The sequence below is a fragment of the Homo sapiens genome, chromosome 8, assembly GCF_000001405.40.
Source record: "Homo sapiens chromosome 8, GRCh38.p14 Primary Assembly".
NCBI classification, from domain to species: domain Eukaryota; kingdom Metazoa; phylum Chordata; class Mammalia; order Primates; family Hominidae; genus Homo; species Homo sapiens.
The window spans coordinates 95,216,484-95,229,921 of NC_000008.11; the positions used below are offsets into that span (position 1 = coordinate 95,216,484).

At 49.6% G+C, this 13,438-nt stretch overlaps 2 annotated features.

Annotated features, from left to right (window-relative positions):
• Positions 12,060–12,199: an enhancer, noted in NCBI's record as "active region_27653". NCBI's record gives its function as "activates an Ori minimal core promoter by ATAC-STARR-seq in GM12878 lymphoblastoid cells {active_cell/tissue: GM12878}" and the evidence as "EXISTENCE:reporter gene assay evidence [ECO:0000049][PMID:35858748]".
• Positions 12,320–12,439: an enhancer, noted in NCBI's record as "active region_27654". NCBI's record gives its function as "activates an Ori minimal core promoter by ATAC-STARR-seq in GM12878 lymphoblastoid cells {active_cell/tissue: GM12878}" and the evidence as "EXISTENCE:reporter gene assay evidence [ECO:0000049][PMID:35858748]".

A 13,438-nucleotide genomic window follows, 5' to 3' on the forward strand; every position in this document is an offset into this window, starting at 1 on the left:
GCTGCCGTTCTTGCCCCTGCCCTCCCATGTCTTTCTAAGGATGATTCTAGAACCTTCTCTCTGTCTCCTCCATGGAGCTGGCTGCCAAGGGGAAGCTTTGCTTACCCAGTCCGGTGCTGCTGGTGGTGCCTTAGTCTTCTGACATGATCTCTGTAACAGGGACTTGAAAATAACACTCGGAGCAGTGCCCTGTTCAAATGGTCACAGTTCACATCCTGAGGAACCATCTATTTTGGGCATGTTGAAGTTTGGAGCAGGTCAGTGCTGGATAAACAGCATTTTTCTAGGACTAGACCAGGAACACCAAATATAGTAGAAATGTAACAAGCCCTCAGAATATGATTTATGAAAACAAAACAAAATGTGTAATTCTGTGAATATACTAAAAACCATTGAATTATACTCTTTAAATGAGTGAATTATATCTCAATAAAACTTTTACAAAAAAAAAATTAAATGCTGAAAAGTAGATGATTTCCTGGAAAGGTAGTTTCTCATTTTAAGATATAATTATCAGCCTGAGTGGGACCTACTTTTCTCTCTGACCCTGTCCTGTTTAGAAATACCAACATGCATTTCCCATCAGCACCATAGAACCTGACTCCTCCCCACCCCACAAATCACTCAACTTTGCAAAAGGGTGACATTTGACAAATCCCAAAACAGCCAAACAGGCGAGCCATCACTATTCAGGTTTGCATTTGCAAACTGAATCCTTAACTACCACAAATGACAGCAGCTTGCACTTGCTGAAGAGCTCTTCTGAGCCAGGGCCTGCCTAAGCACATTCAATGCTCATATGAGCCTGTCGCCCAGGCTGGAGTGCAATGGCACGATCTTGGCTCACTGCAACCTCCGCCTCCCGGGTTCAAGTGATTCTCCTGCCTCAGCCTCCTGAGTAGCTGGGATTACAGGCGCACACCACCACACCAGGCTAATTTTTGTAATTTTTGTATTTTTAGTAGAGATGGGGTGTCACAATGTTGGTCAGGCTGGTCTTGAACTCCTGACCTTGTGACCCACTCGCCTGGGATTACAGACATGAGCCGAAATTAGCTCATAATAACAAAAATTAGCCTGGTGTGGTGGTGCGCACCTGTAATCCCAGCTACTCAGGAGGCTGAGGCAGGAGAATCACTTGAACCCAGGAGGCGGAGGTTGCGGTGAGCCGAGATCATGCCATTGCACTCCAGCCTGGGCGACCAGCTCATGAGCCACTGTGCCCGGCCCACCTGGAGAGCTTTTAAAGCCACTGCTGCCTTGTTCCCATCCCTGGAGAGTCTGATTTTATTGCTTTGGGGTGCAGCCAGAGCACAAGCTTTGGTTTTGTTTTTTTTCATAGCACACCAGGCATTCTAATAAGAACCCTGGCTCTAGAGTCCATGTTTACATTAAAGAGGCTATTTACTTCTTGCCTGGTACCACGCCTGTGACTTGGGTAGCTGTCCCTGGCAGCATGGCTAAATTCCTCCATCTGGGGTTCACAGAGAGAAGGGGAATGAGTTTCAGGACAATGGCTGTGGCTGCAGGCTCCTGCACAATCTATCTGGCCCTGTCTGATCCTTGGCCTCTGCCGGCCTTTTCTTCCCCACAGCTGGAAACCTAATCTCAGCCCCATTCCAGTTCCACCCCACCTCACCCATTCTGCCCCAAGCCCACAGCCCAATTCTCACCCTGGGTGGGGGGAATCAAGGCAGCCGTAGCTCAAGAGTGTGTGCCAACAGCAAGAATTCCTGATTATTAATCCACCCACACTGACATTGGGTTCCTATAAGCAGGTTGTGGTCTGCACTGTGAAACTGGTTAGGGTAACTGCAGGCCTGCCCAGCTCCTCCAGGCTTAGGACCTCTTCAGGAACCTGGCTCCCTTTTCACATGTGGCCCCTGCGTTTCACTTAGTGAAAGAGAATCTTGTCTTCTTGTTAGCCTTTGATCTCTGGAGCTGCCCCTTTCTATTTTAGTCTTAAATTCCTTTCCCACCACCGTGCCTGAGTAGGCAGGTCTTCCTCAGACCAGTTTTGCACTGCAGTCCTCCTGGCAGGTTGCCTCCTATAAAATGTCCCTCTTTGGTGGGTGTGGTGGCTCATGCCTGTATCCCAGGACTTTGGGAAGCCGAGGAGGGTGGATCACCTGAGGTTAGGAGTTCGAGACCAGCCTGGCCAACATGTTGAAACCCTGACTCTACTAAAAGTACAAAATTACCTGGACATGGTGACATGTGCCTGTAATCCCAGCTACTCTAGAGGCTGAGGTGGGAGAGTCGCTTGAACCAGGAAGGTGGAGGTTGCAGTGAGCTGAGATTGTGCCACGGCACTCCAGCCTGGGTGACAGAGCGAGACTCTGTCTCAAACAAAAATAAAAACAAAAACAAAAACAAAGTCCCTCTTCAAGGCCCACATGCTTGTCCAGAATCTACATTTCCAATGCTTAAATAGGATCTGCGCTTCAAAATAGAAACATACAGTAGGGTCCTCTGAAGTTACTATGGAAATTAGGTTAGAAAAACAAGACTAATATCCTTGAGGAAAGAAAATGGGAAACCTGAGACTAAGATCATGACCCCTGGAAAGGATATGGCTGTCCCAGGCTCAAGAGCTCTCAGCTCTGGGCTGCTCCCCTGCCTAATCCCCGGCATGCTGGCCCTCACTGCAGGAGGGGACGTCCTCTCTCCCTGCCCTTCTAGCCCTGGCCAGCTCCCCCTCCTGCCCTCAGGAGTCAGCTGCAGGAAGGAACCGGAGTCGGCTTCAGCCTGACAATCACAGCAGGAAATGGCTAAACTCTCTTGGGAAATTTTGGGTCTGGTGAGACCCTGGGCCTCATTTTTGACCTTTGTATCCAATATGGACCCTTCTTATACTCAGCCACACAGTACTCTGACTCCACAGCTCCCAACTCTTCCTACTACAGCACTGCCTGGCTCTTAAGGCTTTCGGCTTTGCCTTCTAGGAAGCTTGTTCCATTGACAGGAGTTCCCCATGGCTGGGGCCCTCTCCTCCTTCTCACTGGAGCTGAGGACACAATGGGTGACAGCCCTTGCGAGTGGAGGCTGCTCATTCTCCTGCCCCCCATTTACCTAAGGCCTGGAACCCACTGTTGGTGTTCTTGAAGCTTCTTACTGCTGTTTACAGGCAAATATGTGTTCACTCTCCTCTAGAAAACGCTTCTCCACTGAGATCTGTGCCTTCCTCCTCGACCATCTGTCATGCTTAGAATTAGTTCATTTGCTGACAGAAAACCCAAAATAACAGTATCTCAAACACTCGAGATTTTATTTTTTAAGTTAAAGAAGTCTCTGAAGCAGACTGTCCCGAGCAGGTAATTTAGCTTCATGAAGTCTTCGGGGACCCACGCTTCTTCCCACTCATGGTTCTCCCATTCTTAAGGTGGGAGCCTCGTCTTATGGCCCAGGATGCAGCCCACACCTCAGCCACCATGTCAGAGCTCCAGGTCGGCCACGGAGGGAAGGGAACAGGAAGGGCTTCCAGAGCACCCTAGAGCAGGGACACAGCCACTCCCGCTGACCAGCTAGGATGAGCAATGTGATCTTAAAAAGTCTGGATGCAATGGCTCTGGCTAAAAAACCTCTTCTTGCTAAGGAAGAAGAGGCTGATGGATATGGGAGGGAGGTCTCAGTCTCTCCCACATCACCCTCATTACTGGCCTCCACACATCTTAGGTATCCCCTCACAAGCTCCGAGGACTTCATTGCCCATTTCCCTCAAACTGTGCCATCATCTTGGGAGTCCTCAGCACTGCATCAACCATCTCTCGATGCCTCCATCCAAGCTCTCCCTCCATCCAGCCTCCATCCTCAAGGCCACAGCAGGGAGCTTGTCATCCCAACTTGGAAGTATCCAGCTCACCGAACTGTTATCCTTCCTGCTTGCCCTTCTCTCTCACGAAACCTCTTCTAGGATCTCCCGGGGATCTTGAGTTCCTGGTCTCCTCCCCACTTACCAAGTAAAAGAGCCCATCCTCAATGCACTTCTGTTTCTGCCCCACTGCCTGCCAGCCTCATGGTCTCCCGTCCTTGTGCACATACTCCCTGCTCCTCCTGCTCCTGGCTGAGCCAGCCCTTGCCTCCACCTCAGCCGCTGAGTCCCGCTCCTCTGCTGCGCAGACTATGCAGCCTCAGACAGCAGCTGCATCCCAAAGAGAAGTTACATGTTTTGTTGTTGCTTCATTTTGGGAGATGCTGCTCCCAAAGCCTCTCGCATGGACTTTGTTAGCTCCTTGTCCCATTTCCCTTCTCAGCCCTTTCAGACCCTAGCACTTTCCGCAAGCCTCCCTGCCTCCCAGCCATGACTGCTTCCTGTTTTTTGGAAGAGATGTCCTCAGGTGTGGCCGCCTCCACTTCCTGCCCTGTCACCAGCGAGCTTCTCTGCTTGCGTTCTCCTCCCTGCCCCCTTCTCTGAGGAAGGGTGGTCCCCTTGCCGAGCTAAAACTGAACTGCCCACACGCAGAGAGCCTCCTGCCTTCTCTGGATTACTCCTTGGAGTATCCTTCCATCGCCTGTGCCTTCAATCTCTTCTTCATCGGCTTCTTCCTCCCTGGAAACGAATATGAAGATCTCTTCCAAATTACAAAAGTCCTCCACGTATTGCGATCTCTTGGCCTATATAGATTGTTTTGCAGCAAAGTTTGTTGAGAAAGTTGTCTACACTCCCTTTATCCACTTCTCCACCCCATTTGGGCTCCCACCCTTTCCTCTCTGGCTTCTGCTCTCACGATTTCCTGGAAACTGGGCAAAGGCTCCTACTTAGGTGGGCTTTCCGGGGCTCTACTTACAGACTCCCCTGGGGCAGGAGACACCATCAGCCACACCCCACCCCTTGGCAATCCTCTGCTCCTCTAGTTTTCCTGGCAGGACTGTTTCTCCACTCTGCTGTCTCCCAGGCCAGCCCCTTTCATCTGGGTGTGTTGGGAATGCTGTTTTCCCAGCGTTCCCGCAGCCCATGGCTCTTCTCTTCGCAGGGCCCATCTTCCTCCCCACAGTGATCTTTCAAACCCAGGATGTCGGCTGCTGCCTACCCCCAGCAGAGCTTTCTGGTTTGAGCGGAGCTGAGCTTGCCAGGCCTCAGGCAGTTCTGGGCATGTCTGGGGACCTGGTGAACGGACTACCCCAGGTCTATTTGTATGGGAACTAGCAGTGTCCCGGAAAAGAACCAGCTGTGGTTTTGCCTCCTCAATGACAACCAATCAACATATTTAACTCTACACACATTAATAAGCACTCTTCTAGAAACTGGGGGTATGGCAGGGAACAAAACAGACACAATTCTGGTCTTCATGGAGGCAGACAGACACAAGATAAGTAAGACCACATTGCAAGAAATGCTGAGGACAAAAAGCAGGGTGAAGCGATAGGAAGAGTGTGTGTGTGTCTGTGTGTGTGTGCAGTGTGTGTGTGTGCATGTTGACATTTGCAATAGGGCAGTCACTGAGATGGTGACATTTGAGCAGAGACTGAAGGGCTGGTGTGTGACCATGCGCGTGGAGAGTATTCCAGGTTGAGGGACAGCAGGTTTAATGAAGCTTATGGGAGGCCATTGCTTTGGACTGAGCTTTTGTGCTGGGTCCGACAGACCAGACCAAGCCAGAATGGAGCCACTTGTGCTTGCCATATAATTAAACTTAACTTTAAAATGGGCCAATTTTCCAAAAAAAAAGGAAAATAATCAGAAGGGCACCAGCTTACCTGAGCCGGCATGATAAGGAAAACCCCTGTGTTTTAACACTGTCAGGAAAGTCACTTCGAAACGAGCATCCCGCTTTGTCCTCCATTTCTACTTCTTCAGCCCTCTTCTGCCTGTAAGCCCCGCCCCCCCACCTCAGTGCATCAGAGTACCTGTTCTAAATCTGTAGACAGTATGCTGCCCAATTCATGAATTGCTAATAAAAGCCAAGTAGATCTTTCAACTAAATTTGTTTAAAAAGATTTTTTATAACAGTCCTGAGAGAACAGCAAAAATTCTTTGCTTGAGAACTGAAGGAAGCAGAGTGAATCAGGAGGGCCCCAAGATAAGGTCAGGCCAATAGTGGTGGAGGGGTGTGTGTGTGTGTGTGTGTGCGTGTAGGGTGGGGGTATTAGGGCTGATAACTTAGGGCTTTGTAAAAACTTGGGTTTTACTCTGAGGCAGGAAGACTAGGGAGGGTTCTGAGCAGAGGAGTGATGTGTTCTGAGTGATGTTTTAAAAGGCTCACTGTGTTAAGAATATACCAAAGGGCAGAAACAGGAAGACCTATGACAATAATCCAGGCAAGAGAAAATGGTGGCTGGGTCTGGGCTGGGAGCAATGGAAGTAGTAAGAAGAGACTAGAATCTGCTACCTTTTCAAGAGTAGTACAAACAAAATTTGCTCATGGTGGACCCACAGATGATGCTATTTAAGACGGAGTAATCCAGATGGTGGGTGTTATTGTCTACTTGGGCTATGCCTTCAGATTGCACAGTGTGGGATTAGGGTCTTTTTTCCTTGTAGCAAAGGGATGTTCCCAATGTCTATCATTGTGGAAAGATGCTAACCCTGAAGTAGGAGAGGCATGCTTGGATAGGGGCCAGGGTGTCAGTGGGGACTGGGGCAGAGATGCTGGGGACCTTCCTGGTGATGGTAGCGTTGGTGTTGTTGGTGATGGTGGGGGTGGAGGCTGAATGAATTAGCCCTGATCTAGAGGCAGACCAGGACCTAGAAAAGGCTTGGCTGGTGAGGGACTAGGGTTGGGCTGGGTCCTGTTGGTTTCCAGTGAAGCTACTTCTAATTGTGGTCATACCTCACATGCTTTTTGTGCATTTGTTCCTTTTCAATGCAGACAGCAATGCCCTTGACAGTGGGTACTTTGGTCCCAGTGAGACAGGGAAACTGTGGTGGCTCCTGGAATGAGCATCTGGACCTAGGCATGGCTCTGAGTCTTGGGTGGTCCAGGACGCCACCATAGTGAGCAGGAGCAGGGAAGGGGGAACCATGGATACCAGGTGGCACAGAAGTCTAGTACAAGAAGTAAGTTTATGTAACCTCCTGTTCCCCCCCACCTGCCCCCACATATACCAGGGTTTGCCAGGATTCCCTGGAATATGTTGAGAGGGGCTGGAGTTCCCTAATAGTGGGAGGAGGCAGAGGCAGAGAAAGGCTGTCCTGGGTGACTCACTGTCATGCTATTTTTGACTCCAGGCTCCTGTTGCCTAGGAAATGTGCCTTCTTATAGTCGGCTGACTCCCAATCTCTCTCTCCAGACTGGCTTTCTTTCCTGATATCCATACCTCTTGGGCGTCTTGCCTTAGATATCCCAGACCTCAAACCCAAAGTGAGCTCCTCTCTTCTGCAAACTTCTCTCTCTCTTGTTCTCAGCCTCCAGAATGACACCACCAGCCAGCCAGCTGCCCAGGCTGGAACCCTGGGTCAAGCTTGAATCCGTCTTTCCTTTTGTCTGTCATATGTAGTTAATCATAAGGCCCTATGTGTCACCTCCTAAACATCTCTTGAGTCCCTCTCTTTTTTTCCATCCTTGCTGCCCTAGCCAGAGTTTTGGGGTGAATCCTTACAGGGGAAACTCCTTACAGGCACTTTTGCCTCATTGTGCCCTCCTCTCTGCTCCTAACCCTCCATGGTTCAGAGTGACCTTCCCGGTGTCACCTCCTCCTCAACGTTCTTCAGTAGCTCCCATCACCTTTGGGAGATGACATACAGCAGATAAGGCCATGTTGGCATGGCCCAGGCTACCTGCCAGCCTCTGGCCACTCCCTGCAGCACTTCATGAGCAGTGATTCTGGACAGCTAATAGTTCCTGAACCCTGCTGGGTTTGGGTTGGGGTGGGGGACACTGATTCCCAGCATCTGTCTTTCTATAGACTGGAGGGAATTTCAGATTACCAGAGGGAACTGTAAAGAAGAGATACTTAGAGCTTCTTACAGACCCCTTCTCAGTTCTCCTGGGGCTGGGGTGGGCTCTTTGTGACCTGGGAAAAGAAACAGAACACACTCAGCTGGGCATCGACCCTTTCTTGTCTTGAAGCAAAATGCATTCAGGTCTGTTTTCCAACGTTCATGGATTGGGGTGGGCTCTGCTTTGGGTAGGAATGGCCCTAGTTTTGGGTAGAAGGAGTTCAATATATGGGTCACTCATTAGGAAACCCACTCCCTCCACAGTGCTATTTATTATTCCCTTAAAGTCCTAGGAAAACCAGGCTCTCTCACACCTCTGTGTTGTAGCCTCTGCTCTTCCCTGGAAATGTCCTGTCCTGCTTGCCCACATGGCAGATTTCTCTCTTGTGTTGTCTTGCTCAGGCTCTGCATCTGCTGTGGTGGCCGCTTCCCCCACCTGCCCTTTCCTGTATGCAGACTCCAGTGCTCCTTCCTGAGGCCTCCAGCACACTCTGTTCATCTTCCATTGCTAGAAGAACCTAAATAAATAGCAATGTCCTTATGTCTTATGCAGGGGTGTTTTTTGCTGGTGGGGTGGGGGATGTGGTGGTGGGGGGTAATCTTTTCATCTTTATGGTCCTTGTGCCTTGCAAATGGTCCAGCACACACTCTTTTGGTAACTGTTTGCTGAATAATTCAGTTCAACCTAGTCTATTCAGCATAGATTCTATCGTAGGTACTGTACTTTGCATTGGGAAACACAAATGAATAAGATATGATGGGGACCCCGGAAGGTGGTGCAGCTTAGTGGTAAAGACACACTTGCATAATATAAGTCCTATACTAAATCTATGAAAAATGTTGCACTTGTGTGGTTAAGAAGTATTGGATTTGGAATTAGGACTCCAGGTTTAAATTCTAGCTTCAAAACCCACTAGCCTAAATTTTCATAGCTGTGAAATGGGAATAGTAGTACCTATCTCATAGCTCAAGGATTAAATGAGATAAAGTATGTAATCACAACCTGTATGGTTACTGGGCAATAATATACGCCTAAGTAATGTGTGCAGAAATGAATGTGCCTCATTTGATGGGAGCACAGAGCCTAGAGCCTTTGGATTTGCCTGGGGCAGTTGAGCAGACTTCACGGAGGAGACATTAGCACTGGATTCAGAGAAAGCAGCTGGAAATGACATTTCTGGAGAGAGATCTTGGAGATAAACTTCCTGGGGCTTGGCCTGGGGGCTGTAGCTAGGTGAAGCTGCAGGCCAGGCAGCTTCCAGAGGAGAGGCCACAGCAATGCGATCTGTGGCAAGGTCCCCTGCCCTAGAAGCCGCTGAGTCACACCGAGGCCCAGAGGACTCTGTTTTGTTCCAAGTGAGCTTTCAGCTGAAGGACAAGCCTGGACAGGGCCTCTGTTGCTGGGACTTTGTGCCCAGCTCTGTTTCATGGGAGCAGCTTGGAGCCCTGCCTGGCCCCTTCTGTCCCTCCCACCCCTGCAGGGAGGCCCCAAGGAGCCTCAGCCCAGATTCCTAAAGTGAGTTCCAGCTCTGGTTTAGAGAGGGGTATGTTTTGCTTGGAGCTTTATTTTAAGGCTTGCAGCACCCAGAGCAAAAAAGCCGTAATTCTTGCATCATAGTGGTAGGTGTAGAGGTCAAGCAGCCCCCAGGATGAAATCCCAGCTCCTTCAATTTTTGACCTGGCGTAAGTTATTTAACCTCTTCAAGCCTCTTTCCTTCATCTGTCAAATGGGAGTAATAAGGCCCACTTCCCAGGCATGTTACCAGAATTAAATAAGAAAACATGCATTTTCTTACTTAACACAGTGAAGAGCTTTGTGCCTGGCATTTATTATTCACAGTTGCTGTGTGGGAAGGTTCAAAGAAAGGACCTAGAGACTCTCTCCCCTGATCTAATGATCATGGAGTCCTGCAGACTCAGTGTTTCTCAAACTTTATAACCAAATCACCTAGGGATCTGGAGGATGCACAACCTGATCCAGGAGGCCTGGGTGGGACCTGAGGGTCTGCATGATTGATGAGCTTCCAGGTGATGCCCTGGCTGCTCTGCAGGACCACATGGTGAGCACAGGGCTCCAGACACTTTCCTCCCCCAGCCCCACTCCACCCCAGGGCTCCTCTCCCCTCCGTCAGGGCCCAGGTAATGCCCTTCTCATGGGTTTGGCTTTGTCCAGCCTTCCTCACCTCCATGCCTGCAGCTCACTGTTGCATCATGATTCTTCTTGAAGTGTAGGAGAAACTGCTGATACACAGCCACATATGATCAGAGGAACTGCTGCTTCTGCTGGGGGTGAGGGCAGGGGACGACATGATTCTCTCAGGAGGAGATGGCCTTTTATCTAGCAAAACACCTTGGAGACTGCTTGGTGTGAGGGAGATGAGGCACCCAGGGCTTGCTTTTAAGGAGATCTTAAGTGATCCCAGGCTTAGCAGGATAGCTATTTCAGACATGATCTCCATGTGTGGATGGTGGCTGTTAGGCTATTTGCTGTGACTCAGTTTCTCTGTTGAAAAAGGGCTTAGTGGGGGCCAGGCCTGTTGAAATAAGGCTTAGTGGGGGCTGGGCGCGGTGGCTCATGCCTGTAATCCTAGCAATCTGGGAGGCCGAGGTGGGAGGATCACTTGAAGTCAAGAGTTTGAAAAAGGGCTTAGCAGGTACCTGGGATTGTCAGTGAGGGGAACTTGCTCTGGGCAGGCAGCTGGATGCAGGGCCCAGACCCACCTTCTCCCACCGTATCACTCCATTCCTGCTTGGCTCCAGTGGAAGGTGGGAGGTGGGGAAGAAAGGGTTCAGTTCAGCCTTTAAGAAACAACGGTCACACAGACGTTTAGACAGATTAAGTCTTGCTTTATAGAGCTTGTAACCATCTCCATTATGTGCTCAGAGATACTCTGCAGAAAAGAGGAAAACATGCAGATGGATGTTGAGGAGTAAGGCTGATGTCCCAGTCAAGTGGCTGCCTGCACTGCTGGGGTCTAGATCCCACACAGGCCTTGCCTTCAACTGGGATGCCTTCCCACAGTTTTCTGTTAGCCATTGGCTTTTGCAGGTAAGAAGCACTGTGCTGGCTTCACATAATTCTAATGTCAAGAAATACAAAACTGAGATTTACTGAATTGTGCAGAAACGAAGGAGGAGCTGTGTAACAAGAAAGAGTCCTGAGCTGCAGTCAGAGATTTGGCTACCAGGGGTTGCAGTGGTTGATCTCTAAGGTCAGATTCTAAGAGAAGATCTGGAGGAACATAATTTTCTAGCTGACGAATGAAAGAATGCAGATGATAATTACTGCACATAAACCACATTCAAGAGGACACTGGGACCCCTGTGAAGCTTTATTTACTTTTTTGGTCTTCTTGCATAAAAGAGATGATTGGCATGAGCCCGGCTGGTTTGTTAGCTAAACACAGATGTGCACTTGCAGCTGTAGTTACACTTGTTGGGCTGTCAGGAGGAAATTGTATATTGTGCATTCATGAGAAACTGATTAAACAGAGGAAGCTAAAGGTCCACTGGTGATGGCTGTGATCCCCTCTGATGGACTAGATATAAAGGAAATGCTTTAAAACATTTGAGGACCTGGAGTTGATCCATAACACATTATTTTACACCTATGGTGCCTCTGTGGAATTAAAAAACACCACTTTCATCATCTTATTTATTTATTTATCTGCTTCAAGAAAGTAATGGAAGCAACTTTAATTAAAAACCCATATGTAGGCCGAGTGTGCTGGCTCACACCTATAATCCCAGCACTTTGGGAGGCCAAGGCGGGAGGATCACTTGAGGTCAGGGGTTCATGACCAGCCTGGCCAACATGGTGAAATCCCGTCTCTACTAAAAAAATACAAAAACTAGCTGGGCGTGGTGGTGGGTGCCTGTAATCCCAGCTACTTGGGAGGCTGAGGCAGGAGAATTACCTGAACCCTGGAGGCAGAGGTTGCAGTAAGCCAAGATTGCACCACTGCACTCCAGCCTGGGCGGCAGAGCGAGACCCCATCTCAAAAAATGAAACAAGACAAAAAAAACCACATATGTAAACTGGGCAGCTTAAAAATAAGTCAGAAAGAGATCAGAAACCATAGAGAGGAAGTGGGAGAAAGTTCTGCCCAGAATCTAAGGTGAGGTACTAGGTAGTAAATGTAATTCTGAGCCTCTCGTCTTGCTTTTTTCACCTTCTTATATATGTGACTCTGCTGGAGTTGCATTTCTCATGGATCCTTCCAAATAAGTCAAGAAAAATTTCCCCAGGAGTCCCAAGTTTGAGTCTGGATCAGCATTTGGCAGATTTCTGAGCCTAGAGACAGAGCACAGGCTTCTCTGGCCCGTGATCTCTGCCCTGTGAAAGCCCTTGCCCTGATCTCAGCTCCCATGATGGGCATCCAGTGGCAAGGGGGCCTCTGTGAGTACATTGAGATGAGCCAGGAGGCCTGATGCTGTGCCTGAGACCGAGTCCTAAGAACAGGCCCACAGCTGATGTCCACACCTGGCCCACGTCCCCTGGCCAGCCTTCTTCCACCTGCTCTGTTAAGAAGAAACATGCACCCTGTGGCTAGAGTCCAGCTCCCCTCAGCCCTCTTTCTTCCCGAGGATGTCCTTAGTAATTGTGGCTTTAGTGATGAGCAACACTAGGAGGCCTTGGGGCGTGGGGCCTGCAGAGCAGGGAGAAGATAAGGCAGGGAGATAGGAGGCTGGAGTGTGGGCAGGGCATTGATGGCCATGCTGAGAACCTGGAACTTCGTTCATATTTTAAGCAGAGACGCAGAGACACGGCCTGGTCAGATTTGATCTTCACTTGGCTTCCAGCTACGGTGCCTGAAGACAGGCCTGAACACGCAGCCCACAGGGGAACCCGTTATGTGTGGAGCTCGGCAGTGGAACCTGGCTGGGGTTAAAGGTGGTGGGGATGAAAGGCGCAGGGCATCCAGGCTTCCCACCTCGCCTGTGTCACTTCCTCTGCTCTCTATTACTCCATCACTCCCCATTCCCTGCTCTCCGAGCTCCAGTCACAGTGAAGCTCTAAGTTCCTTGGAAGGACTCTGTTTCCTCCTGCCTCTGGGCCTTCCCATGACAGCTGGAGTCACCTTGTCCAAGAATAAACCAACAACCTTCACTTGGTGATGCCCGCTCCTTCCTCAGGGAAAACTCCCAATGCCTCATCCCAGGTCAGGCCTCCCAGGGCACCTTGCAGTTCCCCTTCTGAAACATTCACTTCACTTGTAATTACATGGGTGCGGGGGACAGCACCTATTTTTGTGGCCTGGCAGCCTCTCTCTTTATTTGGTGTGTGGCTATAGTACCCTGGTTTTATTTTGAGGTACCACACCTCCTCCACTGTCAACCTGTGTGCGTTGGGTAAAGTTGACCCGACTCCTAGGAGCCAAGAGTGGGCCATGTGACCAAGGCTAGACCAATCAGGAGAATCCATGCCCCTTGGCTTCAGTGATTGGTTCAGAAATAGGCAGGTGATCTAAATAAGCCAATCAGGGCTAAGGACACTTGGTCCCTGAATTTTGGTTTGAATTCTTGAGATCCTGACTTACTTCCATGGTCTACAGTGGT